General features: G+C 38.0%; 1 protein-coding gene and 1 long non-coding RNA gene across 13 annotated transcripts in view; one reads left to right on the top strand and one right to left on the bottom strand.

Moving 5' to 3' along the window:
* The window catches only part of ARHGAP15 (Rho GTPase activating protein 15), a 638,934-nt gene that overhangs the window by 55,263 nt on the left and 569,211 nt on the right, over positions 1-14,460 (bottom strand). For 7 of the 9 annotated variants that reach the window (NM_018460.4, XM_017004500.3, XM_011511482.3 and 4 more), the window contains one exon: positions 9,566-9,671. In NM_018460.4, the coding sequence (NP_060930.3) occupies positions 9,566-9,671 (106 nt within the window). Of the gene's footprint in view, positions 1-7,276; positions 7,539-9,565; positions 9,672-14,460 lie in introns of those variants that run through there. The other 2 variants (XR_007078554.1, XM_047445109.1) reach the window with 2 other exon arrangements.
* ARHGAP15-AS1 (ARHGAP15 antisense RNA 1) overlaps positions 1-14,460 on the top strand; it is a 135,343-nt gene that overhangs the window by 63,009 nt on the left and 57,874 nt on the right. The gene's annotated exons all lie outside the window — the stretch shown is intronic.

Genomic DNA, 14,460 nt, shown 5'->3' with positions numbered 1-14,460 from the left:
TTGATGTTACCTGGAACCACTCACTGGCTATTAGATTATCATCTTGTTCAATGAAGTAACGCGATTCCATTTGTTCAACAAAAATTATTGAGTATCTATGTAGGACACGGTGCTAGGGGATATAGCAGGAATCAAAATGACACAAATTTCTGCCCTTCTGGAGCCAGTGCTCTAAGAGCAGAAGAAGCCAGGTTAGTTCTTTATATTTTCAGGACCTGGCTATGCTATAGAATATCATTTTTTTTCCTGCTAGATTATACTTATTCCTGTGGGTTTTTTTTTTTTTAAAGCTGAAGGGTGAAGGTAAGAACAGTAACTGGTCATTGTTATAAATTCTGCCCAGTGTCCTGTTAAGCTGAGGTTATTCTAGGTGTTCCTTGTGTAATGAGTAGTTTTCATCACAAAATATACCTTTGCTCTTGCCAAATGTTTTTTCTATCAATATGCGTGCCATTCTCAGACTCCTTTTCTGTTATCTCTTTCTCTGACCATCCATTCAATGTTAGAAGTCTCTAGGAATCTGTCCTTGATTCTCTTCTGGGTTCACCCTTGACTCTCTTCTGGGTTCACACGGTCCCTTGGAGGCATTCATGACCTTACCCCATTGCCATCTTTAAACCAACAACTCCAAAATTTGTCCCTAGATCTCAATCACCTTTCTTGCATTCCAAACATATATATCTTATCCTTGACTGGATTTTGCTAATAGAATATAACAATGAGCAAGTCACATTATGTTAACAAAATTTCTGCTTTTTTCATGCCTCCAGTTTGGTCCTTTTCCTATGTGAAATGTAAGTTAAGGATATCACCATTCAGCTAATTCAAAATCTGGGTGCCATCCTGGAATCCTTCGTCTTCCTAACCTCTCGCATGTACTTGGTGCACATGTTCTGTTGCATCTACTGCTTCAATGCCTCTTGTATCCATCACTTTCCCCCATTCTCCCTATCACTCCCTTAGCTGGGGATCTCTAGCTTGGACTACTATACCAGCATTCTACTGTTTTCCCTACTTCTGGTGTTGCCCTTCTACAAGCTGTCCTTCACTCTTATAAAAACTGTGGTCTTTATGAATACAAATTTCATTACCTTACCTCTCCACTTGAGATCCTTCAGTGATTTTCCTAATGTCTACAGGTTTTGTTTTGTTTTGTTTTTGTTTTTTGACACGATCTTGCTTTGTTGCCTAGAGTGCATTGGCAAAATCATAGGTCACTGTAGCCTCCGAACTCCTGGGCTCAAGTGATCTTCCTGTCTCAGCCACTTGAGTAGCTGGGACTACAGATGCATGCCACAATGTCTGGCTAATTTTTTAATGTTTTGTAGAGATGAGTTCTCACTATGTTGCCCAGGCTGATCTGGAATTCCTGAGCTCAAGCTATCCTCCCTCCTCAACCGCTGAAAGTGCTAGGATTAAATGAGTGAGCGACAGTGCTTAGCCTACAGAAAGAATTTCAAGCTCCTTATCAGACTGTATGGTATTCTTCACAATTTAACTTGTTTACAACGTTAGAGGCTCATAATCTGCCACTGTTTATTCTCTTTATAATTCCTAATTCTCTAATCCTTCCAGAGGACTCACCATTTCTTTACCACATTGCAGTTCTCTTCCATGTTCTTGTACAGAGTATTCTCTCTCCCTACAGTAGGTCTGTTGTCTGCCAAGCCAACATCCTTAAAGATAGCTTGTTTCATGTCCTCTGGGGGGCATCCTTTGATTTTTCTAAGCTAAATTTCAGCTGCTGCCTAGAATTCTCCTAGCATTTTAGATATTGCATCATGTTTATTATAATTGTTTACTAATTTATCTGCCTCAGGAGACGATAAGATACGTGAGGGTAGGAATCCTCTTTATGCATTTAACATTGAGTTGAAGGGTCAGCAATTTTTTTCTGTGAAGGGTCAGATGGTAAATATTTTTGGCCTTGTGTACCTTGTTATGACTTATTGTGACCTCTTGCCTTTGTAGCATGAAAGCAGCCATAGGCAAAACATAAACAAATAGATGTGTGTTTCAATAAAACTTTATTGACAAAAACAGGAGGCAGGCTGAGTGTGGCCTGTGGGCCACACTTTTCCAACCCCTGATTTTGTTCAGGTCTGGAATATAGCAGGCACTCATTTGAGACTTCCTGAAGGAATTTGTAGGTAGAATTTTACAGTTACCAAACATTTTCACAAATATGAATTTATTTGACTTAATTAACACCTGAACAAAAGGGACGGTTACAGACTTTGAAAGATTTTCTCAATGTTGTACAGTTTCTAAGGGCTGAGAATGGGGCCTGAGACTATGTCTTCTGATTCCAAATTCTTTCCATTAGGTTAAAGGCCAAGATTCATAGTAGAGAAGGGTGGGGCAACTTAAAAATTTTACCTCTCATGAGGGAAATACCCTCATACAGTTGGCCATCACTTAACAATAGAGACAACAATGATAGATGGGATGGTAGCAACTTTAGGTTTTGTTGTTTCCTATTTTTCAGTGGTGAATGTTACCATTCAAATGTTAAATCTAAAGATCTAAAGTAATAATTTCACTCCCGTCTTAAAACCTTATCTCCCACAGCCTTCCTCTAGAACGAGGAGGCACTGCTGGAAGGATCACTGAACCTTAGTCCTCAGCTCACAAACCTTATAAATCCCATGCCAAGATGTCTCCTAAGTAGATGACATTTTAATGATTACTATGGGGAGTTGGGAACTATTGCTTCACCCTCGCGATCAGAGTAATTAATTTTCTTAACTACCAGGCCAAATTCTGCTATGGGAGTCCAGTTGAGAAATTTCAGGCCCATAGGAAGTACATTAGCTCTTTAAAGTGATCAGGGTGCCATTTCAAATACAAAAGCAAAGGAGCTATGAAGCTTCTGGCTTATTTCAAACAACTCACAACCCGTGTCCCACAGGAAAAGAGAAAAAAAAAGAAAAGAGAGAGTAAAAGAAAATAATAATTTGCACAGGTTCCTCATTTTCCAGTAAAAATATCCATGTCTGCAAGTCTTTGGATATCAGGTATTGTGGTTGGGTGAAAGACCAAAGTGTACAGAAAAAGAATGGAGTGCCAGAAGACAGCACAGAAAAACATAACGTGCTCAAAAGCACAGCAGAGCTGAGCATTCAGAGGCCTGGATGGGAGGCAGAGAGCGTCACCAGCATGGCCCCTGACGACCAGAGAGAAGGGTGATGGCTGTGGGCTTTGAAGTCCATTCTTTAAGCATATCTAATTTCTCCCCACCAAAACATCAGAAATACCTACAGTGTCATTTTAAAGACAGGGTGGACGAATTATTTTGTCTCCATTGTTTTCTGATACAACCCTTATATTTCTAGGTCATTATCATTTAAGTTGCCTCTGACATGCTTTTGTAGAATATTTTATTTAATATCCATGAAGACCACAGAGAAGCTTTAAATATTGGTTTACTTTCACAAAATAGCCCCAGCTCAACAGTTTCTGGGGCTCAACAGTTTCTACTTTCAATGAGGCATTCAATTGGCATTAGTCCATGAGATTTGTCTATTCAGCCATATCATTTTTTCACCTTGGAATTCTATGAACAGCTGGACAACTTCCTTAGAGTCAATGCAAAAGGGAAGATTTTAACTTTCAACCTATTTTACAAAGTGCAAGTCTCCTACAATAATGTTTATTTGCACGTAAAATCTGCAGCAAATATATTCTTCCAAAGCTATTTTTAAAAATCAACAAATAACATTACTTCCTAAGTCATTATTAAAAGTTGCCCATTTCTAAGACATTTTATTTTCTCTGAGTAATGTGTGCATGCATAATGTGTACATAAAAGTTCTTTTGAGTCCTTACACCCCCCTCACAAATTTGAGATTGTTTTGGCTTGCAAAATGCATGCCACAAAGGAAATCTGGTCAACTAGTTAAATTTAGCTCTGTGGAAAGACTTTATTTATTTTCTAAATTTTCCATAATTATGTATTATTTTTATCATGGAAATGAAAATATGGAAAAAGACTTCAGCAATATCTAGAATATACTAATAGTCATGACAACAAAAGTTCTAGTACTTCCAAAGGGCAGCACCAGGCCTAGGTGGATAAGTAGTTGATAAGATTCCAGGTGAATATGTAGTTGATAAGATTCTAGGTGGATATGTAGTTGATAAGATTCTAGGAGTGTTTATATTGGTGACTGGGACACAGAGTATGGCCCTGCTGGCTTCAAAATCTCTTACTTATCAGGCTTTCATAAAGCTGGTGTTCTGTTTGTCTTGGCAGGAAATTCTGATCATGAAAATCACTCTGAGAAGTTATACAACAAAGCAAGGGAACTAGAAGTCTATTAGGGAGACTCTTCTAACAGAGGAGGCTCTTCATAAGAGGCATAGAGAGACCTGTGCCTATTTCCAATTTCCTTATGCCTGCCCCAAAGGCCGGCAGACTAGATGATCACATTAGCAAACTATCACTTGGAGGGTGAAAAGAGTTGGAACTAAGACCAGGGGACAATATGCCAGCCAGGCTGACAGGGTGTCTGAGACAGAAAAGAGTGGGGATTGGGTATGAGAATGGGGGTGTGATGTAGCTTGTCAAACATGTGAAATAGTCTCACTGGGACTCTGGGAAACTGGCTGAGTCAGGACAGTAAGGAAACTCAAGTTTTGGAAAAAGATCCTGAGATGGGATAAAGACTTTTCTGGAAATCATGAAATTTAGCAGTAATTTAGCCTGCACTGCCTTGGTAATTCTTGCTATATTTATTTCATTAATAATTATATTACCCTCACTATAAAATACTGTAATAATAATACATGTAATATAATACATTTAAAAAATACATTGATGTAAAATGTTTATTTAATACTTAGGTGCTAAGTACTATGCAAGACTCTTCAAAAGCATTATTCATATACTTCTCACTACAGAAATAAGTTCTTTTATAATCTCCCTTTGACAGATGACAAAATGGAAGCTTAGAGTTGAATGAATTGGCCAAGGTTATACATCCAGTAAGTGGCAGAGCCAAGACTTGCATTCAGATCAGCCTAACTCCAAAGCCTGGTTTCTTTGTTCCCTTAACTTCAATGTCTCCTCCTATACCATTATTAGGGGGTAAAAAGAAACACAGGAACGAAACTCTCACAATCCAACAACTCAAAGAAATATCAACATTTTAGTAAATATTTTTATAGTCTTTTCTACATTCACAACTTTTTCCCCCATATTTATAATTATGCTCTCTTTGAATATGCAAAAGACTGTATCTCTGATTTTATTTAACATTTAACACAGCATTTCTCCAAGTTGAAGCAGAAAGAAAATAAAAACCATGAACTACACTTTACTAAGGCAATATGATGTATCCTGTTCTACATAACCCTCCCCTATCACTGAACACTTACATTGTCTCCAAATGCTCACTGTTGCAAACAGTGCTACCATGGACAATTTTATCTGCATAAACTTTTCACCTCTATGTGACTGGTTTTAAAGGTATGAAACTTTGAAAAGTCTGCATTCTCGAGATACATTGCATATACGGGTTTTCCGATATGTTAGCTGTCCATCCCAACCAGCAGCATATAGAGGCCTTGATTAATACACACCTGCCAAAATCGGATTCATCCTATTTCATTAGTTTGCTACAACCTCGTCATCTTCTTTCCCATGTCTGTTTTTGGAAAACAGAGAAAAGAGCACCCTTCTAAACAATATCTCATTTTGCTTTTAAAAATAATGCTATCAGGGGGACTATTTTCATAAGTACTTATCATTGAAATCTCAGATGTATCTCTATGGCTGACTGGATATGGGAGACAAATGAAAACTGTGTGGACTTTTCCTTTGAAAAATCTCAAGATTTTGGCCATTTCTTTCCTTTTGACGTCCATCACTCCAATCCAATTGCAACTCCCCTGGGACCTCCTGGGTTCTCTCCTCTTTCTACCTCTTTCATCCTATACTCTGCTGTCAGATGACTCTTACATTAACACTGAGCACATCATGCAATTTTCTGGTTCATAAAAGGTTAACGATTCCCTAGTTATTATTTAACCCCTTTACTGGCTCTCAACCACCAGCTACTATCCATCAGCAAGTAAACCATCTTGCTAGGTCCTCCTTCCCACTAACTTCATCTTCACTCTGCCTCTCTGCCTTTCCAAAGAAGCAGGCTATAGGAAAATGCATTTGACACTTGTATTTTATAGAGACAGTTTTGCCATTTATATGATGATTCAGAAGGTACCAGAGGACCTTCCAGGGCCTATCACTGTAATGTCAGTTTGTGAAAATGGCTATTAATAAAGGTTTCTGGCTGACGGGATCTTGAGATGATAGCTTATTCCGAATTCCTGGTCTTAAGCTATGATAGCAGATGCATAGAACTTGACCCTGAGTTTGATTAAGAATGAAGACTCTGGACTCTGAGACTAGTCAGCCTGTGCAGCCATTGTGCAACCTTATGCTTAATATAATCACAATCCTTTAAAAATTCTGGCTTTTGTGGATAGGATTTGCATTTACCTTCTAGTCCAACTGTGCCGCATTAAGCTTTCCCAGTTGATAGCTGATCTGCTTTGAGGAGTGCATTTAACTCAGAGCTCTGCAAAAATGGAGTGCTTTTCTGTTGACTGTAGAGTACGTAGGTCAAGTGGAATTTTTGGCACTTCATTACATTCCCTGACCCTCACTAAACAAACTTCAAAATATATATATTTGCAACAATTTGGAATAAACACTACATACAAGGGTTGACGATAGATTTTCTGAAGAACTACCAAATGCATTAAGACTAAGGAAAACATTCTAATGATTCTTTCAAACACGAATATATTTAAATTCCTGTTAAACAATCTTCTTATTTAGTCTTCTCAGGCTTTGATGACACGCCACGATTGGCTGTTTATCAAAAACTTAGCAAAAAAATGCTTAACAAGATATAATTGTGTGCACACACTCGTGCATAATTAAACCCAGTTTATAAATTGGTACAGGGTGAAATATAGTCATACCACCCAAGAAAGGTTGGTGGCTAGCAAACAACACTTCTTCCCATGTATAATAATCAATCTTAAAATGTGAATACTGTGAAGTGATATAATAATCTGATCTTAAATCTTAATTTAAAACATCTATTTCCATCTCTATTGAACTAAATGAAAGTTCTGACAAGATTAGGAAATTAACTGGGATGTAAAAAACAGGATCAGGCATTAATTGTTAAAACTGGGATTATGTGGCCTGGACATGGACGATCGTCATCCTTTGAAGGTTTTTAACTAGATAGATTCTCTTCTGTGTGTTTTATTTATTTTATTTGAAGGAGGATTTAGCTGACTCTTAGTTTCTTTATTTTATAGCTATTTCTTCAGTTGAAAAAAAAGGGAATAATTGGGACAGAGTAACGGATATTTCTCAAGAACTTTAAGACAAGGTATTGCATAGCATTAAAGGGTATACTTTTCCATTTGTTTTATGACTTTGTCCAGTTAAAGTTACTGAGATAAGCACTCCAGTATTTACTTGTAACTTGAAACCGCTTTCATGGTGTGTCTGGATCCTAAGGGAAAAGAATTAACATTTGAGGAATGCTTACCTTGTGCCAGGCGTTTTATATGCATTATCTCATTTAATTCTCATAACCACAAGATATGGTTGATAGTATTTAATCCGATTTTACTTGCCTGAGATCATAATGGGAGTAAAGCATAGAGCAAGGATTTGACTCTAGGTCTCTCTTTCTATTTCTTTAAAGCCCAAGATCCTTTCACTAAACCACATTGGATTTCTCACCGTAGCCAGTATGTGGGAGTGACAAGAAGGAACACTCTAATAGTAAGAGATTTTCTGAACTTTAAGATAAAGTTCCCCTTTTGAGAGTAAAATAAGACAGAAAATGATGAGTCAGATTAAAACATGTTCCCTAACGCAATGAACTGGTTTAGCAAGTTATGGACTGTGTATACCATGAAATACTATTGACATCATTAGAAATAATAAGATAAGTCTGTTTAATGAAATAGAAGTCTGTATATGAGTTACAAAATAGTTGTATAATAATATGTGCAATATGATGTACTTTAACATTAGAAGCAACCATACACACATATGTTTGCATGTGTTTAGGAACAGGTCAGGAAGGATACATACAAAAATGTTAGTTACTTCTGTTCAGCAGGCTAAGAGTGGTAGGCAGATTTCAGTTTTTAAATGTAAATGCATCACTGTTGCTTAATTTTGGGGGGTGCAATTGCATGTATTACATTCACAATGAAAAATCATGTAATAGATTAGTTGAATAATCTGTAGGAATGACTCATCCCAAATTATGAGTGATTGAGGTGTTTAAGGAGATTTAATCTCACAAAAGCAAAACTGCTCAATCTATTTGAACCTCTGTCAGGCTTCAATTTTACTATGCATATATCATGAAAGCTAAAACCTCATAACTTGCGTTGCACTCTGCCTTATCTGAAGAAGGTGTTAACAGAAGGCAAATGAGTAACAGTCATTTCAGACTTAACATGTCCAAAATAGAGCTCTCAAACCTGCTTTTCCTACTCAACTTGTTCCTCTCTGCAGTTTTACCCATCTCTGCGATACTATCGCTTCTTCACTTGCCCAAGTTGAAACCCAAAATTTGCACACTTGATTTCTCCTTTCCTTTCCCAATGGTATCCCAACCAGCAGCAAGTCCAGCCTGATCCATCTCCACAATATCTCTACCCATTTCTCTCTGAGGGCTCCACTCAAGCCACCAATATCTCCTGCCTGTACTACTGTGGTTGTCTGCCATTAGGTCTTCCTCTCTTCACCTTTGCAATGCATTCTCCACTTAGCAGCCAGATCAATCTTTTACACTCCCTCAATTGTAGCATTCTTCAGTGGTTCTTCCTTGAATTTAGAATAGAATCCAAATCTCTCACTGTGGACCACAAGAACCTATGTGATCTGATGCTAGTGTGATACTTGGGACTTCAGCTCCTGATCCCATCTTGCCTCCACATTTGGGCCTAGCAGTTCGGGTTTAATTTCTGCTTTTCAAATACTTCCAGCTCTTAGGGGCTTCTAGGGCTTTACATTTGCCTTTTTTTTTTTTTTTTCCTGGAAGACTCCTCTCTTAGCTATTTACATGGATAGCACCTTATCAATCTGAGCCAACATTTTACAGATGAGGAAATTGGTTGCAGAGGGTTTAAGTAACTTATTTGTGGCCCCAGCACGTGGTACATGGTGGGGCTGAGTTTTGAATCCATGTCTGAATCATTTCATGTTCTTTCATTATGTTAGATAACAAAGTCAAGATGACCCATCCCAGGGTCCAGGCGATGGTTCTGACAAGCAATCAGCAAACATATACTAGTTGAAAGGGCCTTGAAAAATAAGTTATTTCAGAAGTTCCTTTTGTAGATTGTCCTTCCTATCCCTAACACATTCTCCAGCTTCTGCAGAAAGACCTAGTTCAGCTACAAGGGAAAATACGAGATGTACGCATTTGGAAACTCTTGCCTTAGAGATGTGAAATTCAATATTGCCCATTTAGGAAATGACTATAAAATGACACATCCAGAAATCCTTACAACTTACTTAGTTAGATGTCCAAAGAGGACTTTCATGGTGTCACGATTTGGCGGAGGGAGTTTTTGTACAAGAGATTTTACAGCTTCAATTCTTGTGTTGTTGTCTTGCTTTTCTGGAAAAAAAAATAAAAAGGAAGGTTAGGGAAAAAACAAGATTTCATAGGTACAGGTACATGAGAAAATTTTCTTGAGAAAATTTTGGACTGAGACTAGCAACTAAGAGTCCTAGTCAGTAGTCAAAGGGAATAGGTGGACTCAACCTGGTTATTAAGGAGTTTCTTTTTATTTTGACTCTGAATTTGACAGTGGCAGGCCTTCTGGGAGGCTGTGTATGAACTGATTAGCTTTTAGCCTTTGTACCTTTTCTCCTTTCTGCTTCTTTGAATGTAGATAGAATGGCTGTACTGTGAGATAATCTTAACATGAAAGCAACAACAATGTGACTTTGACATTATCTTCCTGATCTTAACATTTGGTTTTCTTAAATGTCCTGTTTTACAAGGAGTGGTAGGGTGAACAAGGGCCTTCCAAAGATGTCCGTGTCTGAATCCCTGGAATGTGTGACTATGTTACCTCACATGGCAAAAGGGACTTTGCAGATATGATCAGTTAGAGATTTTGAGATGGGGAGATTTTTCTGGATTATCTCAATGGGCCCAGTGGAATCACAAAGATCCTTATTAGGGAGAAACAGGAGAATGAGAGTCAGAAAAGGTGATATGAGTTCTCATGTGACAACGGGAGCAGAAAAGAGAGGGTATGCGATGAGGGGCTGCTTTCTAAGGAATTGCCACAGTCTCCAAAAGCTGGGAAAGGCAAGGAGACAGAGCCTCTAGGGATACCGCAGGCCTACCAACCTCTTCAGTTTCAGTCTGAAACTGATTTCAGACTTGCACCCTCCATAACTGTAAGAGGATAAGTTTGTGTTTTAAGTTTGTGTGAGTGTTAAGTAGCAATGGGAAACTAAACAAGGACATATAGTGTGATTTGATTACAAATATTCTATTGTTGCTTGATTTTGTAGAAGGGAAAATTGTTTTAAAAATTATTTCCATGTTATCCTTTTTCCCTTACACATTTTGTTTTTGCTTTAAAATAAGAGGGTAAAACAGAAAAAAAAATTGAAATAGCATATTTCCTGGTCATAAACATTTTATAAAATAGGAAGTTGTTCAAAACTGCATACCACATTGATTTCTCTCATTTTGTTTTGTTTATAGATGGAAAAGTAAAAATTGATTTACTTAGTACACTAGGGAATTCATCTTTCCACAGTTTTAACCAGGGCCTTATCATCTAGAGGTATAATTATTTATTGAACTTAAACACCTCATGCACTTTCCTTTCTATACTTTAACTTCTAGCACAGGGCTCTTGATGATTCTAAACAGGCCACAGCTGGAAAATAAGATATAAAAAAGACTAATATGTAAGGCAAACATCCACCCAATAACCATTCTCTTCTTCCTTAGCAAGACAATCCCACTGTTAAGAGGATGGTAATAGACCCAGCTGCCTTGGAGCTGGAGTGGCCATGGGACCAAGTCTGGCCAATGAGACTGAAGTGACAGGGTTGGTCAGGCCTTCTGGGAGAGCATGTATGAGCTGATTTAGCTTTTAGCCTGTGTACCTTTCCTCCTTTCTGTTTCTTTGAATGTAGATGGAGTGGCTGTACTATGAGCTAATCTGGGGAACTGAAGCTCTGTGGAGTGAAATACACAGGTAGAAAGAGCTTTCTCGAATCTGTGGAGCAGTCATACTAGTCCTGCACTGTCTGCCTCTGGGTTTCTTTTGTATTTTTTGAGACAGGATCTTGCTCTACTGTGCAGCCTGGAGTGCAGTGGTGTGAACATGGCTTACTGCAGTCTCAACTCCTGGGCTCAAGCTATCCTCCTGCCTCAGCCTCCTGAGTAGCTAGGACCACGGGTGCATGCCACCATGCCCAGCTCACTTTATTTTTTGTAGAGAAAGGGTCTCCTTATGATGCCCAAGCAGGTCTTGAACTCCAGGGCTCAAGCAATCATTCTGCCTTGGCCTCCTTAAGTGCTGGCATTACAGGTATAAGCCACCACGCCTGGCCCACTGGGTTTCTTTGACATAAGAAAATAAGCCCTGTGTACTGAAGCCTTTGAGGATGGATCTCTGATACTAAGGCCAAATACAGTTCTTAATAATAAGATGTACTTACAAAAGTCCAATTCAATAGATATATAAACTTTATGACAGTAGGATAAGAAAGAGTTAGTTTAGAAACTGGCAGGTTCTTTAATATGTTGTCGCAAAAGAATTTTTTTATAAGGAATTACAGGAAAATATCCTGCAGAAGATGGTATTTGGCTAAAGTGGGATGGGGGCAGTCTTCCTAGTAGAACTCTGCTTGGAAGCTTTTCTTTTTCCTTCTAAAACCACAAAGGCCTATAAATAATGCCTCCCACAGTCAAAGCTTTCAAAATTGCAGTTATTCTTAGAAGAGTTCCAACATAATATGGCTTGGACAACTGCAAAAAAAAGAAACAAAGGGGAGCGAGAAAGAGAAAAAAAAGAAAGTTGCAACATCATAGCCTATACCAGACCTCATCTTTTCTGCCAAATAGTAAAAAGCCCTCTTGGAGCTTAATGATGGTAAGAAAATGTGATGCTTCACAAGACCAACTGGGGCCTATGAAATATCATAAACCAGAAAAAAAGTACAAGTTAATGAAGATGAGAGTGAAATTGGCATAGTATGCCCAGGTCAGAGCTATTGGGGATGCTTGAATGCTTTCTATCCAACCGTTTGAAGCTAATACCACACAACCATAATTGTGTGTGTATATATGCGTGTGTATACACACACACACACACTCATATATATATATTCATTCAAGAGGTGGATACATTCTGTACAGTTTGGCATGATTCCAGTACAGTTTACCTGAGGATCTGGTGAACTACTAGGTGCAAGCAATCAGTATGAAACTGGGAAGGGGATGAGAGGAGAGGAGAGAGGAGGAGAAGAGACCTTTCTAATTTCACTGAAGTCTCTGACTAAAGTAATAATCAGGTTAATGCCAGAGTCTCCAAAAAAGGGACCAGTTGACATTGAGGGCTACAGAAGTAGCAGCTATAAATTAAGCTTTACAGGCAAGAAGTGGGGAGTAGTCTTGTTGGTTCCAACCAGCAAACTTTACTTATAGGGAACATGATCCAGTCAGGGTGGGGTTAGAAAAGATTGGCCGTTGCTTAATTAGAAAGAGCTGATTTGCAAGGACACTTTCATGGTGTTTGGGCAGGAATTAAGACATAGTCAAGTCCGTTAAGCCAACAGGTAAAATAATTGTGAGCTTTCTTAGAGTCAGCTCTCCCTCTCCTGAGTTCTGTTGCATTTAGAATATTCTACTTACACAACACTTCACATGGTATTTGTACTGCTTGAATGCTTGTCAAATTCCCCTATTAAATAGGGAATTTTCCTTTAAAGCTAGGCAATTTTTATGCTAGCATGTGGTGGGTTAAATGAATGAAAAAGGAATTAGTGAGTGAACTAATGAAAGTTGTGACCATGAACTGGAATATGTGGACCTTGGTTTGAATTCTGTAACAGCTTTTTATTAGCCGTGTGGTCTTGGAGAAGTTTCTTACTCTCTTTGAATAAGATCTAAAAGTGTAGTTTTGTTGAATAAACAAGATAGTATGTAATGTACCAAGCACAATTACAAGTAAAACAAAGTACTATATAAATGTTCACCTTCCCCTGCACCCCTCTCACCTCTTTTGAGGCCCAAGCCACTGGGTCTTGTTCACCTTTTAATCCCAGCAGTTAGCATACTATTTGGTTGCAGGGACATTCAAAATGTAGTTGCTAATTCATGAACTGAGTTGGTGCCAGTTGGTGAAAGTACAATTGCTATAGTAGCCCAACATTACACAACAACCTAAATACTTTGTGATAGGCTGAGAAATTGATGGTCTGATTGGTGAGCAGGTCAGTTATGTATAAGTATCCTTATGAAAAGTACATGTCGGTTTCCAAGTTTGCCTATAAGAAACATTCTACATGAAGAATATTTTATAGAAATATTTTTCTCTCTTTTTCCACTTTCACACATTCTTGGGGAATCAGACAATTGGATATTGGTGCATGCATATTTGTGGCCAAGTTATACTTAAGTGCTAAATGGGGAAGTGTACCATGGCTTAGAGAGAGCTGAAATATTAAGGAGGAACAATTTATTTTTCTTACAACATAATCAGAACAAAATCTTCTGAAAAGGTTATAGTAAAGCAGTGTTTTTTTTCATTCAAATCAATACCACACCCACTCTTCCATAGCTTGTAAAATCAGGAAATAACACAAACACTTCAAGTGGAGAAACATCTAAAAATACAATTGGATACATTAAAATCGAAATGACACCTTTTCAGATCTGGTTTATTGATGTGTCATATTAGGAATTGGAATCAGCATACATAATACAGGAGTGGTTAATGAGCTAAGATTCATAAACAGCTTACTAAAGATGTGTCAACTGTCTTCAATTGATTCAGTGAGCATCTGAAAGACAGCATTTTCTATTAATATTTCTCCTTCAGCATATGTTTTTCTCATTATGAAGCGCTGAAGGTTCTGAGAAGACTTTGAGATATCACTAACTTTTTACATTATGACTGGTGGGAGGAGGAAGGAACTTTTTGTACTCTTAGGCAAACTGTATGTGAAGAGACTTATACAAAATCTTTCCAGAAGTAATGAACTCCATAATTCTTTCCCTCTTTCATTTGCATTTACTCCTGCCCTTATTCTATTATGATTTATTTTTGCCTCTATTCCATGAAATACCTCCATTTTAGTTCTCCACCCATATCCAAATAGCCTCTTCAATCTCTAAGCTGTGAACCCACAATTGCACACACAACTTTTTA

The sequence above is a fragment of the Homo sapiens genome, chromosome 2 (assembly GCF_000001405.40).
Source record: "Homo sapiens chromosome 2, GRCh38.p14 Primary Assembly".
Lineage (NCBI taxonomy): Eukaryota > Metazoa > Chordata > Mammalia > Primates > Hominidae > Homo > Homo sapiens.
This window is presented reverse-complemented; position numbering and strand designations above follow the sequence as displayed.